At 39.6% G+C, this 27398-nt stretch overlaps 1 protein-coding gene across 18 annotated transcripts in view; it reads right to left on the bottom strand.

The window, feature by feature from the left end:
• Window positions 1–27398, bottom strand: part of SPAG16 (sperm associated antigen 16) — a 1126038-nt gene that overhangs the window by 684101 nt on the left and 414539 nt on the right. The window contains exon 11 of one of the 18 annotated variants that reach the window (XM_011511832.3): window positions 21731–22911. The exons of the other annotated variants lie outside the window; for them this stretch is intronic. Coding sequence (XP_011510134.1) covers window position 22911 — 1 coding nt within the window. The 3' untranslated portion in view covers window positions 21731–22910. Of the gene's footprint in view, window positions 1–21730; window positions 22912–27398 lie in introns of those variants that run through there. 18 annotated transcript variants of the gene reach the window in all.

Genomic DNA, 27398 nt, shown 5'->3' with positions numbered 1-27398 from the left:
TTGCCTACAGTACTTCCAACTAAGGCAAGAAAGGAAAGGTACCTAATGAAGGGTAGGAATCAATCCAGCTCACTGTGGAGGACTGGATCTCAGTCCTGCTGGAGAACCTCTGCAGTGCAGGACACATCCCTGAGAGATAGCCAATGCTAGGGATGAGAGAGATGGGGTATTTATTTACACACTGTCTACTGCCAGTCACCGACTGAGGGTTGCTCCTGGAAAGTTTTAATGCCCCATCATTTCTGGACTGCCACATAGGTGGGCAAAGTGAACTTCAGCAGGGAGAGGAAGTCCTCAGTATCTCCTTGCCTATTATATTGGCAGTTGGGTATTAGGCTGGCATGCACTGTAGGAGTAAGGGAACGTGGGCAGAGCATTGACTGTAAATACTACAGATGTTGAGAAATGCCGAAAAAGAGATCTCTCTTGACATGGTCTCTGGGTGACAGATTGTAGGGTCCCCCACTTTCCCCCTGCCTTCTTTCAATGTCCTGACCCAGAAACACAGTGACCTAACTGCTCTGTGACCCAGCCAGCTATGTCTTCCCCTTCAGTCTTGAACCTTCTCAGAAATTGATAAAGCTATTTAGGTTGCTGTTGGAAAACACTAAAAGATCAGCCATGTTGTTACATACATAGAAACTAGCTTTGGCCCTGAGCCAAACTTCTTAAACACTCAAGTCAACTCCATTAACTCCATCCCCTCATTGCAGACATATCTAGGTGGAATATCTCTTTTCTCACTGTTGCTAAGACACGCCGCACCCTCTTCTTTATGTAAATTCCCCTAATAAATGCTTGGGATTGATTTTCCTGGCATCTAGTACCTCCTTCTTTGGAATCTCAATCAGCCCCATCTTGGGATGCTATGGGGAAGTCCTTTGTTGGAATTCTGTGCCACCAGTTTTGTAGTGACTCCAACTGCAGGTTTGGCTAGACAGAACAGAAATGAGGATGGATGGGCATTCCATGATGATGAATTTAGAATATGGTTATATCACTAAGGTCAGAGTTTGGGAGTACTAAGAATCAGATTAGTGAGGCACACAGCAATTGAATAACAAAGACCAGAGAGTTGGCTCAGTGCAGTGGTTCATGCCTGTAATACCAGCCCTTTGAGAGGCCTAAGCAGCTGGATCACTTGAGCTCAGGAGTTCCAGACCAGCCTGGGCAAAGTGACAAAACCCTGTCTCTACAAAAATTAGCTGGGCATGATGGTACACACCTGAGGTCCCAGCTGCTAGGGAGGCTGAGGTGGGAGTATCACCTGAGCTCAGGGAGTTTGAGACTGCAGTGAGCCAAGATCAAGCCACTGCACTCCAGCCTGGGCGACAGAGCCAGGCTATGCCTCAAAGAAAAAAAAAAAGGAGCAGAGTCTTATTTGGTTTTGGACGTTTTAGTCACATTATATCTCTCATGCCTTAAATTGAGAGTGTGCATACTGGCCTATTTGTTGACTGAATAAATCAACTATTAGATTTCTCCAACTAATTTCCAAATTTTCACATACTCACAAATTCTGCTTTTCCCTAATACATCCTTTGGGATGATCTGGCATGTTTTCATACTCATCAATTAAACTTAGTTTATCCTTTTTTCTTTTTTTTTTTTTTTTTTTTTTTTTGAGACAGAGTCTCACTCTGTCACCCAGGCTGGAGTGCAGTGGTGCTTTTTCGGCTCACTGCAACCTCCATTGCCGAGTTCAAGCAATTCTCCTGCCTCAGCCTCCCAAGTAGCTGGGACTACAGGCACTCGCCACCACACCCGGCTAATTTTTGTATTTTTAGTAGAGACAGGGTTTCACCATGTTGGCCAGGATGGTCTCGAACTCCGGACCTCAGGTGATCCACCTGCCTCAGCCTCCCAAAGTGCTGGGATTACAGGCATGAGCCACTGCACCCGGCCCAGTTTATCCTTTTTTTAAATGACTTTGACCTACTCTGGAAATACATGGTTTATTTTAATTTTAGCATTTTAAATATTGTCTCCCTCACTAGAAATTCCAGGGTAACATTTTAGTCTTATCTTTCTTCTATCCTTAATGCTAAAGTTACCAATTTCTGTCATTTCTTTCTTTAAAATACCTTTGTGTTTTACTCCTTCCTCCCCATTGTCATTGCTACCACAGTAACGCTCAGACTCACTAAATCATGCTTTCTGACTAGTCATTGCATCTCCATTTATTCACCCTTAAACTCTTCTATAACGTCCCAGTGAGCTATTTTTCCCAAGACAATATTTTCCTTATACTATTTCCACTCATGTCAAGTAAAAATAGTTACTTGGCTTAATGCTAGAAGCAGACCTATGTCTGTTTTCACTCCTACACTTCCCTATTCCAGTCTGTGGAAATTTAATGGGTCTGGGGAGGAAGAAGTTAAAGCAATGTGCCTGTGGTTTATCTTTCTTTCTCTCTCTCACCCTGATGACCAAGAGACATGCCAAAGAAAGAAGCAAGCTACCTAAGTAATCTTTATAAACATGCTGATGAGGCACTTCCTGGTAAATAAACTAAAGGTATTTACAGGGAAGACCATTCTTATCTATAGAATGATCTAGACAGGATATCCCTGGTTTGGCATTTTCTATAGTATACAAACCGAGAGTCTGTGAATTTTTGAAGCACAGCTCCCTGGAAATGGTTATATAAGCCCTATAACAATTTGGCTGTGAAATAAACTTGTTTCATAACCTAAAAATCTCTATTAGCTGAGGTGATCTGCAAACATTCTATTCCTCTGGGTTAGAATGCATTTCTCTTGAAGCAAAGGAAGACCTGGCAAGCCATAAAAGATGTCCCCAACCACTCTCTTTTTTGTCCATGTTTCTTGAGTGCTTGCATCCTTGAAGCTATTGGTAAAATTTGAGACTGGGTAAGCTCTCTGTCCTTCTACATTCAATTCAACAATTTGATCCTTTGTGGTAATTCAGTGCAAAATAACACCCATCTTTCCCTCAGACTTCAGAAGCAAATGAGACAGACAGAAGGCGTAGCATGGATTATAGAACCTGGCTTTCATATGCAAACACAGTGGGTTTCCTAAGATTTTACCCTGAACAACAAAGAGCAGAGAGTCAGCTCTTTATTATTAGTATGATTATCTAAATTAGTATCTAAATCCCAGAGAGGCTAAGCTGGCCAGCCACATGCCATCCACACAGGGGCAGGCTACTTACTGGATGATAAAGAGTAGACCAGAATGCTTATCTAATTATAACAAGAGCAAGAAAGGAGCTATAATTTCCAATCAGATAAGTCACTCTTTATCCATAGGAGAGGAGAAAATCCGGGCTGGAGGAAAGGCCAGGAGTGTTACTCTTCAAAATCTCTCCAAATGGAAGTCCCTGTTCATGTTCTGAATGTTGGTGTCCCCTCAAAATTCATGTGGAAACTTAATCCCCAACATTTTGGTATTAAGAGATGGAGCCTTTGGGAAGTGATTGGATCATGAGGCCAGAACCCCCATAAGTGAAATTGATGCCCTTATAAAAGAGGCTTAGAAATAAAAATCAAATCCTAAGCCCCCCAAACAACTGAGTTTCCTGTTATGAATTCTGGGCACCTATTTTTTTTTCTGTACAGCTCTGACATTTCCCCACAGAGCCCATTTCAACTGCTTGGATGGTGATGTCATCCACTTTCACTGACAATTCAGAGTCAATCTGCATGTTACACAGCCTTTCCAATATTGTCATATCTGTCTTGTATCTTACTTTTTATATCCACTGGATTGCTTGTCCTAAACCGCATCATAATCCTGATCTCATGTGAAATTCCTTCTTATTACCATCCTTAGCAGCAGGTACTGATTCCATCTCAAGTACTAGGTTCTGAAGGCCGTATAGTTTGACCCATGCTCTGCACACAACCATGTTTACTACCAGGCCCTAATACCTGTGCTCTGCATGTGCCCTTCTATTTCCTGCCCTATATAGCTAGGCCTAAAATTTTACAGTTAAAGAAGCATAGAGTAGTTAGGGAAACCTCTTTTCTAAATCTCCCATTCTACAAATGAGAGAACACATTTCAAGGAATGTACAGTCAATTTAAATTCAACTTTAAATTCAAATTTTCTGATGCTTAGTACTATGTTCTTCCAAAAAAGAAAAAGAGATACTTTGTTCTGAGTAGCTGTTTTTCATTTCTACACTCTATCCACCTGTACTTATCTTTCAAATTTGAGTTAACGTCTCTTTCATCACTTCTGTGACTACTCCTATCTAACCTTATTTCTCCCATTTTTAATTCTTTATAAGTAGTTGTTTTTCTATGAGTTTAGACTATAATTAGTTTCATTATTTGTATGTAATATTTCTTCCCCCTTGAGGGCACAAGACATGTCTTACACTTCTTTGGTAATTCCAATTTCAGTTAGTGAAATGTCAATTATGTTTAGAAAGAAAATCTTACCCGTTATAAACAGTTTTTTCTTTTTATTATTTCCTTTAAAATAAAGCACTTGTAATATGATTGTCGGTTAATCACACGCTTAAATGCATAAACTTTTATTAAAAGCTTCCAGTTGGTTCTTTTGATTCTTTTTGCTCCCAGGGAAAATGTGTGATTCTTGGATAAGATAAAGAATCATTAACATAATGAATGCATTATACCCTGATAATCTTAGCACTTCAACATTATGGTAATTAGTAATCTTGAAGTTACTAAATGATTGGCATACTAGGGTTTACTATTTGACATGTACTTTTCCATGCTGAGAACAAAATACACATGCAGTATGATTCAGTGCTGACTAGTGAAAACTATGAGTAAGTCAGTATATTAGTAATTTGCAATGAATGGTTATTACCGTTTAAAGAGGAAAAGTGGTATCATATGATTAAGTATCTTAACCAATCAGGTCAATGAAAGTACAAATTTGTCAATTACATCTATAATTCAAATTGTATCATTTCTAAATGACTAACAGTAAATATAAAATATAAGCACTTAAGTGTTCCTTTTGGTTGATTAGCAAGATATACTGCTAAAATTGGAATTATAGGCCAGGCGCGGTGGCTTACGCCTGTAATCTCAGCACTTTGGGAGGCCGAAGTGTGCAGATCACTTGAGGTCAGGAGTTCGAGACGAGCCTCGCCAACATGGTGAAACCCCATCTCTACTAAAAATACAAAAATGAGCTGGGCGGGTTGGCAGGTGCCTTTAATCCCAGCTACTCGGGAGGCTGAGGCAAGAGGCAGCTTGAACCCAGGAAGCACAGGTTGCAGTGAGCCGAGATCAAGCCACTGCACTCAGCCTGGGTTACAGAGAGAGACTCCATCTCAAAAACTAATAATAAAATAAAATTGGAATTATAATAATGATAGAAAATGTTTTAAGAACTTACTTGGGGCTGGGCACGGTGGCTCACACCTGTAATCCCAGCACTTTGGGAGGCTGAGGTGGGCGGATCACGAGGTCAAGAAATATAAATTGAGACCATCCTGGCTATCACAGTGAAAACCATCTCTACTAAAAAATACAAAAAAATTAGCCGGGCGTGGTGGCAGGCAACTGTAGTCCCAGCTAACTGGGAGACTGAGGCAGGAGAATCGCTTGAACCCGGGAGGCGGAGCTTGCAGTGAGCCGAGATCGTGCCATTGCACTCCAGCCTGGTGGAAAGAGCGAGACTCCATCTCAAAAAAAAAAAAAAAAAAAAAGGACTTACTTCGGCCAGGCACTTGGCTACATGATGTGAATATATCCCAAACCCTTCTAACATCACTGTGAGGTAAATATTTTTTTTCTTTATTTATTTAAGTTTTTAGATGGAGTCTTTCTCTGTCGCCCAGGCTGGAGTGCAGTGGCGCGATCTCCACTCACTGCAAGCTCCGCCTCCCAGGTTCACACCATTGTCCTGCCTCAGCCTTCGGAGTAGCTGGAACTCCAGGCGCCCACCACCATGCCCAGCTAATTTTTTTTTTTTTTTTTGTATTTTTAGTAGAGATGGGGTTTCACCATGTTAGGCAGGATAGTCTCGATCTCCTGACCTCATGATCTGCCCACCTCGGCCTCCCAAAGTGCTGGGATTACAGGTGTTAGCCACTGCGCCTGGCCTATTTTTTTTCTTATACTTTAAGTTCTGGGATACATGTGCAGAACCAGCAGGTTTATTACATAGGTATACACGTGCCATGATGGTTTGCTGCACCCATCAACCCCTCATCTACATTAGGTATTTCTCCTAATCTTATTGCTCCCCTAGATCCCCAGCCCCCGAAAGGCCCTGGTGTGTGATGTTCCCCTCCGTGTGCCCATGAATTCTCATTGTTCAAATCCCACTTATGAGTGAGAACATGTGGTGTTTGGTTTTCTGTTCCTGTGTTAGTTTACTGAGAATGATTGTTCTAGTTTCATCCATATCCCTGCAAAGGACATGAACTCATCCTTTTTTATGGCTGCATAGTATTCCATAGTGAATATGTGCCACATTTTCTTTATCCAGTCTATCACTGATGGGTATTTGGGTTGGTTCCAAGTCTTTACTATTGTGAACAGTGTTGCAATAAACATACGTGTGCATGTGTGTTTGCAGTAGAATGATTTATAATCCTTTGGGTATATACTCAGTAATGGGATTGCTGGGTCAAATGGTATTTCTGGTTCTAGATCCTTGAGGAATTGCCACACTGTCTTCCACAATCATTGAACTAATTTATACTCCCACCAACAGTGTAAAAGCATTCCTATTTCTCCACATCCTCTCCAGCATCTGTTGTTTCCTGACTTTTTAATGATTGCCGATCTAACTAGCATGAGATGGTATTGTGTCCAGAATTGGTGGGTGACCGGAGCTGGTTGCCAATGCTGGCTCGGGCAGCCTGCTTTTATTCTCTTATCTGGCCCCACCCACATCCTGCTGATTGGTAGAGCCAAGTGGCCTGTTTTGTCAGGGTGCTGATTGGTGTGTTTACAATCCCTGAGCTAGATACAAAGGTTCTCCGCCTCTGCATCAGATTAGTTAGATACAGAGATTCGACACACAGGTTCTCCAAGGCCCCACCAGAGCAGCTAGATACAGAGTGTCGATTGGTGCATTCACAAACCTTGAGCTAAACACAGGGTGCTGATTGGTGTGTTTACAAACCTTGAGCTAGATACAGAGTGCCTATTGGTGTATTTACAATCCTTGAGCTAGACATAAAGGTTCTCCAAGGCCCCACCAGAGCAGCTAGATACAGAGTGTCGATTGGTGCACTCACAAACCTTGAGCTAAACACAGGGTGCTGATTGGTGTATTTACAAACCTTGAGCTAGATACAGAGTGCCGATTGGTGTATTTACAATCCCTGAGCTAGACATAAAGGTTCTCCACGTCCTCACCAGAGCAGCTAGATACCGAGTGTCGCCTGGTGCACTCACAAACCTTGAGCTAAACACAGGGTGCTGATTGGTGTATTTACAATCCCTGAACTAGATATAAAGACTCCACGTCCCCACCAGACTCAGGAGCCCAGCTGGCTTCACCTAGTGGATCCCGCACCAGGGCTGCAGGTGGAGCTGCCTGCCAGTCCTGCGCCGTGTGCTCGCATTCCTCAGCCCTTGGGTGGTCGATGGGACTGGGCGCCGTGGAGTAGGGGGTGGTGCTCGTCGGGGAGGCTTGGGCTGCACAGGAGCCCATGGAGTGGGTGGGAGGCTCAGGCATGGCGGGCTGCAGGTCCCGAGCCCTGCCCCGCGGGAAGGCAGCTAAGGCCCCACGAGAAATCGAGCACAGCGCAGGTGGGCCAGCACTGCTGGGGGACTCAGTACACCCTCCGCAGCCACTGGCCCGGGTGCTAAGTCCCCCATTGCCCCGGGCCAGCAGGGCTGACTGGCTGCTTCCAGTGCGGGGCCCACCAAGCCCACGCCCACCCGGAACTCCAGCTGGCCTGCAAGCACCGCAGGCAGCCCCGGTTCCCGCTGGTGCCTCTCCCTCCACACCTCCCTGAAAGCTGAGGGAGTGGGCTCCAGCCTTGGCCAGCCCAGAAAGGGGCTCCCACAGTGCAGTGGGGGGACTGAAGGGCTCCTCAAATGCCACCAAAGTGGGAGCCCAGGCAGGGGGGGTGCCGAGAGCAAGCGAGGGCTCTGAGGACTGCCAGCATGCTGTCACCTCTCAGTATCTCATTGTGGTTTTGGTTTGCATTTCTCTAGTGACCAGTGATTATGAGCTTTTTTCATTTGTTTATTGGCCACATAAATGTCTGCTTTTGAGAAGTGTCTGTTCATATCCTTTGCCCACTATTTGGTGGTTTTCTTTTTTTTTTTTTTTTTTTTGTAAACTTGTTTAAGTTCTTTGTAGATTCTGGATATTATCCCTTTGTCAGATGGATAGGTTGCAAAAATTTTCTCCCATTCTGTAGGTTGCCTTTTTAACTCCGGTGATAGTTTCTTTTGCTGTGCAGAAGCTATTTAGTTTAATTAGATCCCATTTGTCAATTTTGGCATTGTTGCCATTGCTTTTCGTGTTTTAGTCATGAAGTCTAAGCCCATGCCTATGTCCTGAATGTTACTGCCTAGGTTTTCTTCTAGGGTTTTTATGGTTTTGGGTCTTATGTTTAAAACCCCATTTTGTAAAATGGAAAGTAAGACACTCAGAGGTTAAATAATTTTGTAATCTGTATCTTGCAAAAAGATCAGTTTGTTACTATGTATTGCTACATCTGTGTCTATTTATTTTCCTATATTTTAGGGATAATACTACATATTATAGGAGTTAATAGCAGATAATGGATGTAAGATGTCTAACATAGTGAACAGTATTGAAGTAATGTATTTAGAATACTTCTGCTTTCCTTTCTTCCTGTTTATCTTTACTGCTCAAAATGTGGTCCCCTGAAGACCATCTGGAAACTTGTTTAAAAAAAAAAAGAGTTTAAGTCTCCGGACGTTCTGAGTCAGAATCTCTACCTTTCAAATATTGCCAGGTGGTTAAATTCACACTGGAGATAGAAAAGGTCCTACTTTTGCCGGGCGCAGTGGCTCACACCTGTAATCCCAGCACTTTGGGAAGCTGAGGCGGGCGGATCACGAGGTCAGGAGATCGAGACCATCCTGGCTAACATGGTGAAACCCTGTCTCTACTAAAAATGCAACAAAAATTAGCCAGGCTTGGTGGCGGGCGCCTGTAGTCCTAGCTACTCAGGAGCCTGAGGCCGGAGAATGGCATGTACCTGGGAGGCGGAGCTTGCAGTGAGCTGAGATGGCAGGCACCACTGCGCTCCAGCCTGGGCGACAGACGAGATTCCGTCTCAAAAAAAAAAAAAAAAATGAAAAGTTTCTGCTTTTCACAGTTGAGTTACGTAGGGAGCGAGTACAGCAGAAAGAAGCTCTCTATGGATTATGCATTCGACCTTACAGAAACAATTAATTATCTTTTTATTTTTATTTATTAAACAACACTCCTATCTTTACAGCTCTAAGCCTGTCAAACAATTTTATCAGGAAAAAAAATAAGCACAAACTATGAACCAAAGGATGTGCAGGAAAGCAAAGAAAAACTTCAAAGGCTCAGAATATGAAAGTGGTAGAATTCAGGAGTGCAGAGCTGCATCCCTTTTCCCCACTGAGATCAAAGAACTTATTTTCACTTGTCAATACATTTTAATTCTGGCTATGTGTAAACTCCAGGTCCTACCGATAGCAAATAGAATTTTAAAAATTACACTGATGACAGAGTAGCCAAAAAACAATCTCAAGATCTAAAAAGTGTAGCAAAATGTGATTTAAGTTGTATACGGCTAAACTTGAAGGTAGTTAGAAATGATAGGTTAAAGAAAAGAAGTTAAGTTGCCCTCAGAAGAATTATAAACAGAAGATAACCTGATTTACCCTCAAAAAAATAGTTGGTAAGTGATTATGAATGATGCCAAAACAACAGCAGTTTAAGACAATAGCTTCCTGGTTAAGGATGTTTCTTACTCTCTATCTTGGTTTAAGAAAACATAGTTGTTACTTTCTTTCTCCCCTATAATTATCTTCTTAAATCCAAATTCTGAGTTTGCCTCTAGAATTAGACAGCTCTCAATTTAGAAATGTTTGCTTTGTTTACAGTATGCACTTCTGTGTATTATTCACTGATACTCTCACATCATTTTGTACATCAGCTGTTTAACATTTCAAGCTATGCTGTGATGGAGCTGTGTATTAATCTTTAGGTCATAGCTCTATCTCTATTTTCGTATGAAGAGTAGAGTTTTGCAGCAAATTGAATACTGTATTGCATCTTCAATTTATTAATTTGAAAAATCAAAGTATTATAAATAACATCTCCAAAAATGTAATACACTTGAGATAAAAAAAGAACTAAAAGTTGATTTCATTTCAGAACCAAATTAGAGGTCATATGTAAAAATTAGAAAATAAAAATGTAGAAAATTCCCATGAAATCTTTGTTATAGGCCTTAAACAAATAGATGAGGGCAATATTAATCCTTGATAATAGTTTTATCACTTCCTACTAGATACAATAGTGCACTGTGTGGTTTGTAACTTTTTCCCACTTAACTAATTATCTGACCCATGGGGAAGGAGTGGTGTCCCAGTACCCTCCTCACTTGCATCATGACAAAATACTAGTTTTTTCAGTAGTTAACAGTCTTAAAGTACTGCCCCATTTGCATAAGAGCAATAAACTAGCTTTATGAAATATCAGCTTCTTCTGAGGAAAACAGTGTGCTTTGTGACATGCAGAAATTAACCTCAAAAAGCCATACAACTAATGTCAGGTAGATGAAAAGAAAACAGTCTAGTAAAAGATGGCTAGCATTAATTGAGATCTATAGTGTGTCAGCAATTGTGCTAATCTCTTCACAAGAATCATTTCACGTAATTCACTCAATGTATACCATGAGGAAGGTACTGATATTTCACAGATAAGATGCCAGAGGAACAGAGAGTACAACACCTTCCCCAGGATATACACACGGTGCTAGAACCCAAGCTATTTTCACTTCAGCAAACTTCCTTAGCCACTTACAGTTCATGGTGGTAAGCGCTTGTCACGAATTATCTAATTTGATCCTTACTCTAACTTTATGATATTTTATGATGTACTTTAGCAGTTTCACATACACACATGGAAATTTATAACTTAATGTTTTCTCACCTCCATATCCAATCATTAGGTCCAATTTACTCTGTCTTAGATGGATGAATGGATAGATAGATAGATAGATAGATAGATAGATAGATAGATAGATAGACAGATAGATCTACCTAACTTGAATCTTTTCCATCCATCCCACTTTCATTACTTTGTTCAGGCAGCAGTCCGCTCATAATAGTCTTTCTGATCTACCTATTTTCTTCCACTCTTATACTCCTCCAAACCAGTCTCTACAAAGAAGTCACAGTGATCACACTGAAAAGCAAATCCCATCATAGGAACAAATCATTTTAAAACTCTTCAGTAGCTTCTAACGGCCAGCTGAAGTACAAAGTAAGCAATCAGTACATTGAACAAAGAATTATAGCCGTAGAAGCAACTTTGTTATTGTCTCCCTCTCTCCATTCAAACCTACTTAGTGGGGGTTGGGTTCCCGATGTCTGGCACTTAATGAAAACTACATCATTTATCTTCTCTTTTAACTTATAAAGTAGTGATTAGGATCATGTACTCTGTTACCAGATTCGTTGGGTTTAAATCCCAATAAAATTGGGCAAGTCATTTAACTGTGTGCCTCAGTTTTCCCTATGAAATGCAGAGTGTTATGAATTTCTGCATTTTAGCATTATTATGAGGATTAGGAGGTAATAGTTCTTACAATCATGTTTGGCACATAGTAGGGGCCATGCTTGTTCATTATTTTTCTTATTATTAGGAAATGGAAAAATTTGGCTGACTTTAAAGTCAAAGATATAGTTTAGTAATTTAGTAATTATAAAAGCCCTAAACCATATGAATAATTTGAGTTTCCAATTTTGTTCAACTGTAAAAATCTCTTTTATTCCCCTTCCCTGCCACCTGTTAGCTGTTATTTCTGTCTCCCCTCTAGGGCCAAAGAGGAGGAAGAAAAAAAAGGGTGAGAAGAACACCTAAGTTCTTTCTTGACTGGAATTATTGTAAGATGGCTCAGCAATTTCTGAATGTGACAGGTGTTTAAAGCTTTCTTTCCCTTATGGGATGCTTATGAGAGTTTTTGGCAGACACCACAAAAGAAAGTTGAGTACACTAAAAATATTCCACTGCACATCCTGAGACACAGGCAATATATTGTCCTCGAGTTGTTTGTACCTACTTAGCTCCTGGATTTCTGGCTTTCCATCCACCTCTTGGAGAGAGCTCACCTCTACATTCAGTATCTGAGGCAGGATTTACCAGGGATCCAAGATCACTCTCTCTTTACTGTCATCAGTGGAAGATTTGCTAGGAGAGTAGCTTGGGTCGCTGGAAGCAAAGCTCTTCCTGTGTTCCCATAACATCCTTTTTTTCTCATGTTATAGAACTTTTGATAGTTTGTTATCATTGTTCTTTGTGAATGGTTACTAGAATAAAGCAAACTGGATAAAATGTAAGAAGAACATGATTTTATACTTTGTTCAATTTCCCCTTTCAACAGCTTCTTTCCTGTGATAGATAAAATTTCAATTAAAGTTCATTGCTTTTCAAGCTACCTCATGGTCTTAAAAATCCCAGTCCAGTCTGATATAAAAACCCTGAGAGCTAATCACTCTCACCTTCTATCTTCCAGTTTGTCTTGAAATAGATAAAACAGGAAGTCATTACAGCTTCTTTCTTTCCCTGCCTTGAATTTTTACTCTACATTGTCTCTTGAGTCCTCTGTGTGGGATGGAGAAGTGGTGAGAAGTAGAGGAAAGCTGAAATGACTGGCACAGTTGCCTTATGTCATTGACGCCCTAAAGTGGCTGATGTCCAAAATCTGTTTGTTTTTTCTTTTGTAGGGTACTTGTGACTTCTTCAGAGAATCCTCCCCTAGAGACCTCATTTGTTATTCCTAAGAAGTGATTCCTCCAAATGCAGGACACTTATAATGCCCCTTAGTACTGTTTCCAGCCTCCTTTTGCTGTGGTTACTACATCCCTTCAGCAGGACATCTTGGACAAAGTCCTATTCAAGACTTCTCCCAGTTCTCTCTCTTGTGTGGCAACCATATCCGATTTACAAGAAATATGGCCCATCCCCTGCCTCACAAGAAGTGTCCTTCATGACAAAGGCAGTGGTATGGTTTGGCTGTGTCCTCACCCAAATCCCATCTTGAATTGTAATCTGAATTATAATCCCTACGTGTTGGGGGAGGGACCTCAGAGGAGGTGATTAGATCATGGGGGCGGTTCCCCCATGCTGTTCTCATGGTAGTGAGTGAATTCTCACCAGACCTGATGGTTTTATGAGGGGCTTTCCCCCACTGCGCTCGGCACTCATTCTCTCTCCTGCCGCCCTGTGAAGAGATGCCTTCTGCCATGATTGCAGGCCTCCTGATGCCTCCCCAACCACGTGGAACTGTGAGTCCATTAAACCTCTTTTCTTTATAAATTACCCAGCCTCAGGTATTTCTTCGTAGCAGTATGAGAACAGACTAATACAGACAGTATCTCCTCGCCCTGCCACCAGGTAAGCAGGGAAGCTGTCTATCTTCTTACCTTTTAAAAGACAAACAAAAATAAAAGATGCTTATTTTTATTTTATTTTAGTAAACCATAATCTAGCTTTGATACTTTTCCAATTTCTGAGGACTCAAGTAAGTTCTCAGTATGGTCTTTTTTGAGACAGCTTCACTTGATATGGAAGGAAAGAAGAAGCTTTCTTCTTCCCTAGAGAGAAAGAAGGGCAAATGCCACAGGATGCTGACTTCTTTCAATGAAATTATATCTTTCAAATACCAGATTCAAATGAATTTTCAGCCTTGTCTTACTACGTGTAGAGGGTGTGATACTGCCAGAATAATTTCTCTTGTCATCTTTTACAAGTCTGGCTTAGATGGTGCGGCACTCTAATTTGAAGTGCAGTGGTATTTCCTGACTACTGTCTGCAGTGTTAGAGCTATTAAGTATCTTATATGGGTAGAAGTCTCTTTTTAACACTCTTGTACACTGTCACCTATGATATTTTCAAAGGATATAGAACAATGTCTATCTTGCTGATATATTATTTCCCTAGCCCTCAGCTCAGTTTCAGTGAACATAAATATTTGTTGAATAAATAATAAATGAGTGAAAATGCATTTAATTTTGAGGACATTTGCCTTGGTTTTATAGATGGACTGAAATACCTGCGGCTATTACACGTATACTTATATGTATGTATATACATATACATGTATACATACACACAAATATACATCCATGGCCATATCATTGTACATCTAGAAGACACCATTTTCCTAGGCCATTTATATTGCAGTCTATGTAAATAAATGTGCCCTCCTGAGAATGCCATTTGTGTAGATAATGAGAATGGTGCCTCCTGGAATTGTGTAAACCCTTAAAAATATACATTATATATATGTATAAATATTCTAGCATCTGATATTTAACATACTTAACTAATCACATTTATTAAATGTCTACTGTGTACTAAGCTTGATGTTAGAATACATAGTGTTAGATGTCTACAGAGATAAATAAAAATAGAAAATTGTAAGAACGGGTCGGGCGTGGTGGCTCACACCTATAATCCCAGCACTTTGGGAGGCCAAGGCAGGCAGATCACCTGAGGTCAGGAGTTCGAGACCACCCTGGCCAACATGGTGAAATCCCATCTCTAGTAAAAATACAAAAATTAGCTGGGTGTGGTGGTGCACACCTGTAATCTCAGCTACTCAGGAGGCTAAGGGAGGTGAATTGCTTGAACCTGAGGTGGAATTGCAGTGAGCCAAGATTGCACCATTGTACTCCAGCCTGAGCAACAGAGCAAGACTCTGTCTTTAAAAAAAAAAAAAGGAAAGAAAATTGTAAAAAATAAATAAAAATTATTATAGGCAAAAATATATATAAACACAGAAAATAACTAGGATAAATTTTAATAAAATGCTAATGATGTTTTGTCAGGGTCACAGGAAATGAGTTTTTACTTTACTTTTAACGTCTTATGTAAACATGCATAACTTTTGTAGTAAAAATAAACATTTTCTAAATGATCTTTAGATATTGATATTTTATATATTCAGATCACATCAACATGTATTCACCATGATATTAAAAAAAATTTTTGCCATAACAATTTATCCAAAAGTCACCATCTGATAACTGAGAGGAAAGTACATAAACTTGAAAATTGAGTGACTGAGGCAATAAGTTGGATGACTGGACCATGCTAATTTAGGAATATTGATAGTTTATGATTCTGTACAGCAAGCAAACACCGGCAGCTAAAGATTTACTTAAATAGTCTTTTACAAGGAATATATCAAATACTTAGCATATTACAAATGCACTAAAACTTTTATGGTAATTGCTATAGGTTTTCGTTGTTTATTCCTATATTATTACAATTAAAAAAAAAATTCCAGAAAAGGTTTTTGCTAAAAAGATGCTGTTTACTTTCTGTTTGCCTAGCATGTGATGAGGAAACAATATGCTCATTAGTAAATGAGTTAGAACTCATTAAATGGCCACATTACATTATATCAGGATGGGAGAAAAGAAAATTGACCACACGGTCAACATCTTAAGTTACTTCGATACCAGTATAGGCCCTTAATATGGACTCCTAACAACAATGGTATGGATTTCTTTCATTTAAAAGGTCTTGGTCACTAAAGTTTTGCCACGAAAGTAGTACCTCAGAGGAAAACTATTTTACCTTGCACATTGGGGGAAAAGCCATGTTACTAAAGTGTGTTGAGAGAATTATGTCATATTTATGTACGCCTAATTGTAAGAGTAATTTTTCAGAGTCGCCACACTAACACACCACTACAACACAGCCATACAATGTGATTCCCATCCTAATATATGTTTTTGAATATGAACATTGAACTATATGTTTGTGAAATGTTTCATTACTATTTAATACATAGATACATGCTTATACCCTTGTTCCAGAGACTTAAGATACCTTACGCTTAGTTATAATAAAATGAACTTTAAAAAGCATGACGTAATTGTTTATGAATTACATGTAATTTTATCATTTTTCTGAAGATTTATGTCATTTCCTATAACTTCTTTTTTTTTTTTTTAAAGACAGATTTTTGCTTTGTCACCCAGGCTGGAGCGCAGTGGTGCGATCTCGGCTCACTGCAACCTCTGCCTCCTGGGTTCAAGTGATTCTCCTGCCTCAGCCTCCCGAGTAGCTGAGACTACAGGCATGTGCCACCACCCCCAGCTAATTTTTTGTATTATTTTTTAGTAGAGACGAGGTTTCACCATGTTAGCCAGGAGAGTCTCCATCTCCATCCTTATCTGCCTGCCTCGTGATCCGCCCACCTCGGCCTTCTAAAGTGCTGGGATTACAGGCGTGAGCCACTGTGCCTGACCTCCTATAACTTCTAAATTTGTGTACAGTAACTTGCACTTACACATTGATTTCAATAGCAAAATACACAAACTATAATAAACTTTCTTTAAAAAATAAAATATAGCCTTTGAATTAATGATTAGCATTTAGGCAATGGTCAAACCTGTGTATTCTGAGAAATGACCTTAAACATTATGAAATCAAATATTCTTTGTCAGCCTTTGAAGGAAGTGTGTGTCACCACTCTATCTCTTTAAGAGGGACTGGAGGATGGGGCATCAGGTATATAAAAAGAACTATATTCTCCATGTTTTTTTATAACTTTTCTTTATTGGTTAGTAAAATTCTACCTGTATACTTGAAAAAAACAGAGTAAGGTCCACAACATAGCTTTTGATAGTGTTTATTTTTTCCCTCCTAGTATCTTGAATTTTTTGTAGTATGTGTCAAGTTAACAAAAGTAAAATGAACCCCTGTTTAATCAATTAAAGCTCTTTTAATCATAGGTACATGAAACATAATTTAAAACTTTGATTAACTGAATTATAGCTTGAAATATTCCATAAGTGTTTCCTAATTCTTTTTTCTTTCATAAGATATTTGTGAATTTGCAAGACTATGTCCAAATACCCCCAAATCTCGAAGGGAATGTCTTGTCCCTCCTATAGACAGACGTTATGTAAACATTATAGAAAGGACTCTCACACCTTCCTTTTCCATTGCACCTGTTACATCCATATTTCAAACGAGAAAGGATCAAAGACATTTTTTAAAATGTAGATTACTTGATGTTTCAACTTTGCCAATATGCAAGAGGGCCATGGATTGCCATGAACTACCATGGTTATTAAATAATGTACTAAATTTTGTTCAATGCCAATGGTGCACTGACAAAATATAAGGTAATCATTATAGTTTGGGACCTTTTACCAAAGTGTCTGCCCCATAAGTTTTGCTAGAGGGCAGTCAGAGAATAAATGTGAGCCCCAAAGGAACTAATACCATAATGTTAGTCTAAACAGGATAGGCCAACAAGAAGATTCTGTTATGTCTGCTGATATATACAGATATCACATCAACCCACATGAAGATCTTACTCTGCTTTCCCAGTTGTAAACCAGTAAGATGGGACATGAACTATCCCCTTCTGTTTCCCTCCACTCACTTGCCATTTAACATTTTGGGAGAAATAGATACCCCAGTACTTTTTTCCCCCCTTTTTGGATGGAGTCTCACTTTGTCACCCAGACTGGAGTGCAATGGCATGGTCTCGGCTCACTGCAGCCTCTGCCTCCTGGGTTCAAGTGATTCTCCTGCGGTGTGTGCCATAACACCTGCCTAATTTTTTTGTATTTTTAGTAGAGATTTCAAATACTATTTTTAGTAGGGGTTTCACCATGTTTGCCAGGCTGATCTTGAACTCCTGACCTTGTGATCCACCCACCTTGGCTTCCAAAAGTGCTGGGATTACAGGCGTGAGCCACCACACCCAGCCCAGGCTGGTCTTGAACTCCTGACCTCAGGTGATCTACCCGCCTCGACTTCCTAACGTGCTGGGATTACAGGCATGAGCCACCATGCCCGGCCACCCCAATACTTTTAAAATATTGAAATCTTTGACTGAAATTTTACCACTGACATACTCTTCTTAAGTGCTACTATTTCTATAAATGGTATGCAGTATAGGATATTTTATTGTCAATAGTGATCTGGTTATTTTAGGTGGCATGTTAGAAGGGGAAAATGACATACCTAATGGGAGCATTTAAAATTCATTGAAATCTTTTCAACTGATCTTTGTTTTGTACAGTTAATAAGTAACACTATATTTTGCTATGTAATATTTTGTTCATCTTTAAAACTGGTCTATGGAAAATAATATGTAGGCATTACTAAATGTAATGATATAAAAATTTTGGATCAGTCTATTTTAACCATAGTATTGTAATTTCACAGTTTTGAGAGAAAAAAATAGTTTGGTAGAAAATCTTTATTGACTTTCACTGACTCTCATATGTCATAGTATTGATTTGTAACCTAGAAAGATAAAAACATTTTCATTACTCTATCATTGTTCATTAGAAGATAAATATAGGATCTATATCTCCAGATTCAACAAATTACCAGTATTATCACACATGGAACCAAACCCCAGTATCAGTATATCAGATTGTTCTTTTCTGTTTGGGTTTATAAAGAGATATAAGCTAACAAAAAAGTAATTATAGGTGAGTTTATTAGATTTTTTTCCATCACCTTAGAAAATTAGGGTAAATATCACTTACTGAGTGAGAGTCAAGATAGTCTCTCATTCATTTATTGAATCATTCATTCAATAAATATTCCTACATTTTAGGCACATGATAGGCAATGAGGCAGAATGACATATATACATATACACACACATATATGCAGAGCACCTACTTTCATATCAATCTACTAGGGTACACAATGAAAAAATAATAATTATAAAAAAGTAAGTGCAATAAATGCTATAATTAAGACAGACAAGATGTTAGGGGTTCACAAAACCAAGTGACTAATCCATGATTTGGAAGTCAAATGGAAACTTTTGAGAAAGAGAATTTCTAATAACTTGACATGAAGAGTGAGTAACAGTGAGTCAATTTAAAGGATGGGAAAAAAGATCCAACAAGAGAGTGAAAACAGTGTAGTGCATTAGAAGAACTGAAGAAATACGTTTTTAATGGCTTGAACATGATTCATGAGGGGCAGGATGAAGTTGAAGAGGTAAGAAATTGTCATATCATGACAGGTTTTGTAAGCAGTGTCTAAAAATTTGAACTTTATCCCAAAGTAAATGAAAACCAACTGTGATATTAAGCCTTCAAGATGGTGCCTAATAATCTTTGCTTCCCGTTTTTCACATCCTTGTATAGTCACCTCCCACAGTGAAACAGTACTGGCCTATGTGACCAATAGAATATGACAGAAGTGATGAAATAAGTTCTGAGGTTAGTCACAAAAATCAGTGAAGAATTCTGCCTTGCTTTTTAAATATCACTTACTCTGGGGTAAGCTAGCCACCTTGTTGTGAGGACACTCAAGCAACCCTGTGGAGAAAAAAACAACTTGTCATCAGCAACTTGACCGCCATGTTAATGACTAGAAGCAGATTCTCTAGCTTCAGTCAAGCCTTCAAATATATCTGTAGCTACAGACAGTGAGTATAATCTCATGAAACTTCAAGCCATAACCCCCAAGCTAAGCCACTCTGGAGTTGTGGACCCACAGAAACTGTGAGGAAAAAAAACAAAAAGTTTTCATTCCGAAAAACTAAGTTTTAGTGAGTTATGATGTAGCATTAGTTAATTAATTAATCTACCAAAGGTTTTTAAATAGGGAGTGCCGTGATCCAATTTTGATTTCAGAAAAATCTGACTACATTGTGTAGAAAAACTTCAGAATGCAAAAATGGGAGCTAAGGAGACAATTTCAGTATTTGAGGCAAGAAGTGATGGTGTCCCACTAGGGTAAATATTTAGAATTGCATTAATCTTCATTGCTCCATTTACATTTACTGATATTACTTTAAAATATAAATTCTTTCCAAAAAAAATTTAGAATGATAAATATGTTTGAATTCAATTATTTCTTAGCCTTCTCGTTTAATTCAATATTCACAGAAATAACATGAAGTTCTAGAAATGAAAGTAAGCTAGTAGAAGTTTTATTCACTCAACCATTATCCTTCAAAGCTTTGCCAAATGAGGATAGAGTCCAGCACTTTTCTGCCTCCTGCCTCCTGAAATTGATGCCAGCTATTCAGCAGACTCTAACAGATAGCCCTGGTAGTGAGAACACGTAGTGACCCTGCCACCTCGGCTCCATGATGACTTCAAAATCTCTGCTGTGGTTGTGCACAATAACCACACTCAGCAGCAATTTCCAAAATGATACACTTTCTTTTGCCAGGTATATAACAATGCAACACAATTTGCCAAAGCATAAAATAGTAAAGTGCAGCTTGTTTCCTTACTTTCTCTGCAATTATCTATATTGTTTGCAAGATAGACTCAACTCACTTCTCTTTATGGCAAATATCTATTTGCCCTGACTACCAAAGCGTATGGAATTTGCATAAATCCCATATGGGATTTGCATAAATTGTAGGATTTTTAAAAAGAAAACTTGGTTTCATTGGGAGCTTGCTTAATGCTTCTTATACTTAACAACAACAACAACAACAACAACAACAAACCCTCCACCATGATTGGCTCTCCTCTTTTTATTTGAGAGCTCCAAGATGTTATAAATTCTCTTTCAAAAGACTAGATAAATGTATTGCTTTAAGGGAGTTTAGAAGTAAATTGGAAAATTAGGGGAACATAAAGCTGGATGTTAAAGGCATTTTATTTAGATTTTTGCCTAAAAAAATTTTCTTAATAATGTTATAAATGCACCAAGTTTCCAAACCAAAGTCATTCCAAAAGTTTTTCACTATATTTATTCCTACAATTCTACCTACTCTGTTTCCTTCTTTCCCCCACCCTTTCTACCTCCAGCTCCCTCTTAAGAGATGCCAATTGGAAAAAACAAAACAAACAAAAAAACCACTTTAGCAACCATCTCATCCAAAAGATTTTCACAAATAAATCAACTGAAGCCCATCCAGATGAAGTGTCCAAACCAGTGTGACACTTTAAATCAATTAACTAGTCTACTTGATTCCTTCCTTCCTTCCTTCCTCCCTCCCTCCCTTCCTCCCTCCCTCTCTCTCTCTTTCTTTCTTATTTTTGAGACAGAGTCTTGCTCTGTTGCCCAGGCTGGAGCGCAGTGGCACGATCACGGCTCACTGCAAGCTCCGCCTCCCAGGTTCACACGATTCTCCTGCCTCAGCCTCCCTAGTAGCTGCGACTATAGGCACCCCCCTAATTTTTGTTTTTTGTTTTTTTTTAGTAGGGACAGGGTTTCACCATGTTAGCCAGGATGGTCTCGATCTCCTGACCTCATGATCCGCCTGCCTCCGCCTCCCAAAGTGCTGGGATTACAGGCGCAAGCCCATGCGCCTAGCCTATTTAATTTTTTTTTTCTAATTCCTGTTGCCACTACCGTAGTTCAGGCAGACTTCGCTTTTCGTCTGGACAAATTCTACCATTCCCTTACCCCACTTTATGCATCAGTTCCTTTCATTGACTGCACTACAAATAGAGTCACCTTTTTAATCTGTGAATCTAAATGTCAGTCCATTCTTAATACTCTCCAATAACTCTTCAATGCCCAAAAGATAAAGTCCAAACTCATTGACTTGGCTTATTTTATGACCACATTTAGGTGAGAACATGAAAAAGGAAGGGACAACGCTGGAGAACAGGTAGCTTAAAAGGACCTTTATTTCTTTGTATTTGAATTATTCAGGGTTTTTTTTTTATTTGTTCAACTTTGAAAATGAATAAGTAATCATAGTGGTTAACATTTGTGGGGTGCCTACTCCAACAAATGGTAAGCTTAATCCATGCAGGCACGTTGCTAAGGTCTTGACAGATCTCTTTGAGAGACAGAGTAGCAGAGAGTAATTGTGTAAGTGGGCTGTGATGTCACTCTGTGTAGACCCCAGTTCCCACTCAGCCTATCATTAGCTATATGTTACTTATCCTTTCTTTGCCCCAATAGCCTCACCTATTGAATAAAATGAAATACTGTAGTGCCTGTAAAGCCTGACATAAAGTGAACACTTAATAAACTTTGGCTATTAATTATTCTCACAACTCTGTGAGAAAATTACTTTTATTATTCCCACTTTACACTTGAGAAAATTATCAAGGAGAACATTTCATTTCAAAATCCTGACAGAATTAAGGATGTATGTTATATTGTTATATGGCTGTTATAAGATATTGTTCTATTATAGTGCATGATTGTCTTTCTGATGATAAGGCTGCCCAGTGAATAAACACAGACAGGGAACAGGTACTGAGAACAGCCAGAAGAACAAGGGGATGGGGCACTCTCATCTTTGACTTTATATCTAGGAGAACACTCTCAATAAGTAGGTAGATCTTATGTAAGTTTCTTTTCCCACTCACAGAAACAGACGCTGAGCTGAATTTAGGAGTACAAAATATCTTGGAAGGTAATATCTGTGAAGAAACAAGGGGAATGCAGGATTGGGTAGGAGGATCTGCCAGACTGCAATGCAGATCTGACAACGTATCTGCCAGCCCAGCAGACAGCCTCAGAGCAAAGATCACCTTTTACAGAAGTCCCCTGTTGAAAAGAAATGGCTAGGTGCTTGCACCACATTCTTGCTTAGTCACTGACTGAGGTTACTCTGAGGAGAGCATGACCTCCGCTCAAGCTGAGATGGACTTGCGAAGTTCACAGATGGCCCTCACAGATGGACAATGAGTCTTTTCTTGAAAGGGGAGCTGATTGGTGCATCTCTGTGGTGTCTGCCACATATGGTAAGAGCCGTTTGATTCCTAGCCAGGAGCATGAAAGACTAGACTTCCATCAAGATGTTTTTATCTTGGGGTTCCATATGGAATTGAGGAATCTGCAAAAATACAGTGAATTATACTAGGCCCTGGGTTTGTTTCACAGTTTTCTGAGACATAATTTTAGTAAAGTCTTTAAAACGTTGGTGCTCTCTCTGCGCTGGAGAATCAACAAGAGTATTTTGTGACCACATTTAGGTGAGAACATGAAAAAGGAAAGGACAATGCTGGAGAACAGGACAGCCAAGTTCCTAATAATCTTTGAGCAAACCTGTATCAGTCAAGACAGTCTAGGTTGTGCTTCACTAACAAATGATTCCCAAATATCAGAGACCTATAACACTCAGGTTTAGATCTCACTCTTCCTCCATGTCCGTTATTGGTTGGCTGCAGCTCTGTCATGTCATCTTTTGGAACCCACTATGTCTATTATCACAGGAGAGGGAAAAAGAGAATGGCAAAGTGTGTACTGACCATTAAAACGTCTTCCAGGAAGTGACACCCTCCACTTCTATGGACATTTCATGGACCATATCACATGAGCACACCTGAGTTTCACATTGTGGGCAGGTATAATCCTCCCACATAGAAGGGTAGAGCGCGTGGATGAACACTAACACAGTCACGGCAAAACCCAAAGAGAAGCCCACCTCCTTGGGTCTGAGTGCTAGTACTATTGTTAGGCTTCCCTTCCCATTAGCAGCTTGTTGTTTTCCATGCCAATCTTAAATCTTCTTGATATATATCAACTCTAGAAATAGGCCTTTTCAAAGAACAGTCAAAATAAAATACATTTTGAGATTTTAATGTGTCAAATTACACTCCCTTGTAATTCACTGTACTGGAACATTTTGAGGTCTCAGCTTCTATGTGTCATAGATTACGGATAGTTGTATATTGGAAGTATCATATGATGAAATAATTTTGAAAAATTAAAAAGACTATACAAAGATGAAATATTATTGTGTCCGGAACTGGTGGGTTCTTGGTCTCGCCAACTTCAAGAATGAAGCTGTGGACCCTCGCGGCGTTACAGTTCTTAAAGATGGTGTGGCTGGAGTTGTTTGTTCCTTTTGGTGAGTTCGTGGTCTCACTGGCCTCAGAAGTGAAGGTGCAGACCTTCGCGGTGAGTGTTACAGCTCATAAATGCTGCATGGACCCAAACAGCAGCAGCAAGATTTATTGCAAAAAGTGAAAGAACAAACCTTCCACAGCATGAAAAGAGACCCAAGCGGGTTGCCGCAGCTGGCTCGGGCAGCCTGCTTTTATTCCCTTATCTGGCCCCACCCACATCCTGCTGATTGGTCCATTTTACAGAGAGCTGATTGGTCCATTTTACTGAGAGCTGATTGGTCCACTTTACAGACAGCTGATTGGTCCGTTTTACAGAGAGCTGATTGGAGTGTTTACGATCCCTAAGCTAGACACAGAGCGCTGATTGGTGCATTTACAATCCTCTAGCTAGACATAAAAGTTCTCCAAGTCCCCACTAGATTAGCTAGACACAGAGCATTGATTAGTGAGTTTACAAACCTTCAGCTAGACACAAAGTGCTGATTGGTGCATTTATAATCCTTTAGCTAGACACAAAAGTTCTCCAAGTCCCCACTAGATTAGCTAGACACAGAGCACTGATTGGTGCATTTACAAACCTTGAGCTAGACACAGAGTGCTGCTTGGTGTGTTTACAATCCCTGAGCTAGACACAGAGTGCTGATTGTCACGTTTACAAACCTTGAGCTAGACACAGAGTGCTGATTGGTGCGTTTACAATCCCTGAGCTAGACATAGAGTGCTGATTGGTGCATATACAATCCTCCGGCTAGACATAAAAGTTCTCCAAGTCCCTACCCGACTCAGGAGCCCAGCTAGCTTCGCCTAGTGGATCCTGCGCCAGGGCTGCGGGTGGAGCTGCCTACCAGTCCCGCGCCACGCACCTGCACTCCTCAGCCCTTGGAAGGTCGATGGGACCAGGCGCCACAGAGCAGCGCCCTCCACACCTCCCCACAAGCAGAGGGAGCTGGCTCTGGCCTTGGCCAGCCCAGAGAGGGGCTCCCACAGTGCAGCAGCGGGCTGAAGGACTCCTCAAGCGTGGCCAGAGTGGACACCGAGACCGAGGAGGCGCCAAGAGTGAGTGAGGGCTGCTAGCACGTTGGCACCTCTCGTTATCATTGTTATTACATTGTAATTGTTATTAAATGCTATTTCTTTTGAACTCAAATGATTTTTGAGACTCCTACGTCCTTACAGACTGTAGTATCCCCTTCCTATAAGATCATCTTATTTATTTATTTATTTATTTATTTTTTTAGATGGAATCTCTCTCTGTCGCCTAGGTTGGAGTGCTGTAGCACAATCCTGGCTCACTGCAGCCTCTGCCTCTTGGGTTCAAGCGATTCTCCTGCCTCAGCCTCCTGAGTAGCTGGGAGTACAGGCAGGTGCCACCATGCCTAGCTAATTTTTGTATTTTTAGTAGAGATGGGGTTTCACCATGTTGGCCAGGCTGGTCTGGAACTCCTGACCTAGTGATCCGCCTGCCTCAGCCTCCCAAAGTGCTGGGATTACAGGCATGAGCCACCGTGCCTGGCCACCAGGCTGATCTTGAACTCCTGAACCTCAAGTTATCTGCCAACCTCAGCCTCCCAAAGTGCTGGGATTATATGTGTGAGCCACCACGCCTGGCCTAGATCATCTTTTTTAAATGCACAAAGAAAAACAATGATAGAGAATATCTAAGGAAACCTTATAAAAGAAATAGAGAATTTTTAAAAATCTGTAAAAGAGGTAATGAAAGGGACCTTTGTATAGATTAATTGAATTCTTATCAATGAATAACACTCATTTTCATTTAGCATTATCTTTATTTTCCATTAGGTACATCACACATTAAAAATGTAAAAGAATGAAAATCATTTCTGCAAAGTGAGAGAATTACTGAGAAATAAATGTAATGTTGAAAATATAAAAGCTTCATAGCATGATTATCCCTTCATTAAGATGTAAGTAACATTCTAGAAAATGTTATGGTTCTAATGACAATACAATGGAATACACATTTGTCTGGAAAATAGCACACTCAAGAAATTGTAATATTCATCATTACAGCAAAAAAAGGATATAAATATGATGTGTTATATTTCCACCTCTTATAAATAACACCTAAATAATTTATGTCATACATTTTAAAAGGAGATTAGATGATTTTAAAGTGAGCTAACTTTATTTGTGAATTTGATTCATATGTAATTCAGTAAAAGAACTGCATCTATTTCTATGGAAATGGTTTCTTAAATAGAAACCAAATTAACAAATTATTTGTTTTTTTTTTTTAGCAGTCAAAAATTCTAGAGGCTCTATAACATCAAATCAATGCTTAGATTGACATTTGCTCTTATGGCATTGTATGGACCCAGAGATATAGACATTGATGTATTACATGCATGTATACACATTTCTTTACTGAATTACATATGATAATATATTACCACAAAGAGAACTGTAATCATGACAGATAGATATGTTGGAATCATAGCCTACTATTGCTTCAGATATCCAGAGAGAAATTTCCTAACAACTGTAATCATCTGGAATGCCACCATATCCAATGAGAAAACACAAGGAAGGATTCAAGCTGTCCTATCAGACTCACACAAATTATAAACCTTACTTAGTATCAAGCTTTACTGATGACTTCAAGGACAAATGTAATCAAACAGCACAGACAAAGCAGGGAAAGATCCAGAAAGACAATGACAAATTCCCAGGCCTTTCTTATCACATCAGGACACAGTGGCCCAGATTTAACAAACAAAGCTGCTATGGAATGTGCATAGTCACATAACTTACACAAAAGGAAGCTATTTTGGTATGAAACATTTAAATTTTATATTAGGATAGTTACATAGGGTATATACATTTCCAGGGGCCATGACACATAAATCCGTAGGTTCTAGATTTGTTTTCCATAAGCATACTAGACATCCTGCTGCAGCAGTCCATAGATAAGGACTCTCCCATTAGCCCATATTATTAGTATTTGCCAGGTGGTCTGTCACTAACATGTTTTGAGAAATTTTCTTTAAATTTCTTTTCTAGGGCTGTCTTTAGTTAAGAAAGGCCTGCAGGCCTGCCACTAGTCATTTTCTTCCCATCTTTACTATAAATCATAATGAAAAAGTAAACAGTAACTATGAAAACTAAGAAGCAGATCCTGGCAATGAAGAAGTCTGCAAAGAGTGGTCTGGACTATTTGTTGAGATGTGCAAATTCAGAAAAAATAAAAGGTGGAGGAGAAGGAGAACAACGTAAGGAAAACAGAAAAAATAAAGAATGTGGGAATAATGGGGAAAATGGGGGAAAAATAAAAATAATACAAGAGTAATAGGAAAGGTGAAGCAGAAAAATAAAAAGAGGAGTGGGGGTGGCAATGGTGGGCTGTGAACATCAAACGTTGTAGGAGACATTAGAAACTACTACAACAACAGCAATGGAAAAGAGAAGTTCCATGGTAGAATTACCAGCAGAAACAGAACTTAGAGAGGAAAAG

This window comes from Homo sapiens, chromosome 2 (genome assembly GCF_000001405.40).
Source record: "Homo sapiens chromosome 2, GRCh38.p14 Primary Assembly".
In the NCBI taxonomy this organism is placed as follows: domain Eukaryota; kingdom Metazoa; phylum Chordata; class Mammalia; order Primates; family Hominidae; genus Homo; species Homo sapiens.
The sequence above is the reverse complement of the archived record's forward strand: the minus strand, read 5'-3'. Positions and strand labels throughout refer to the sequence as shown.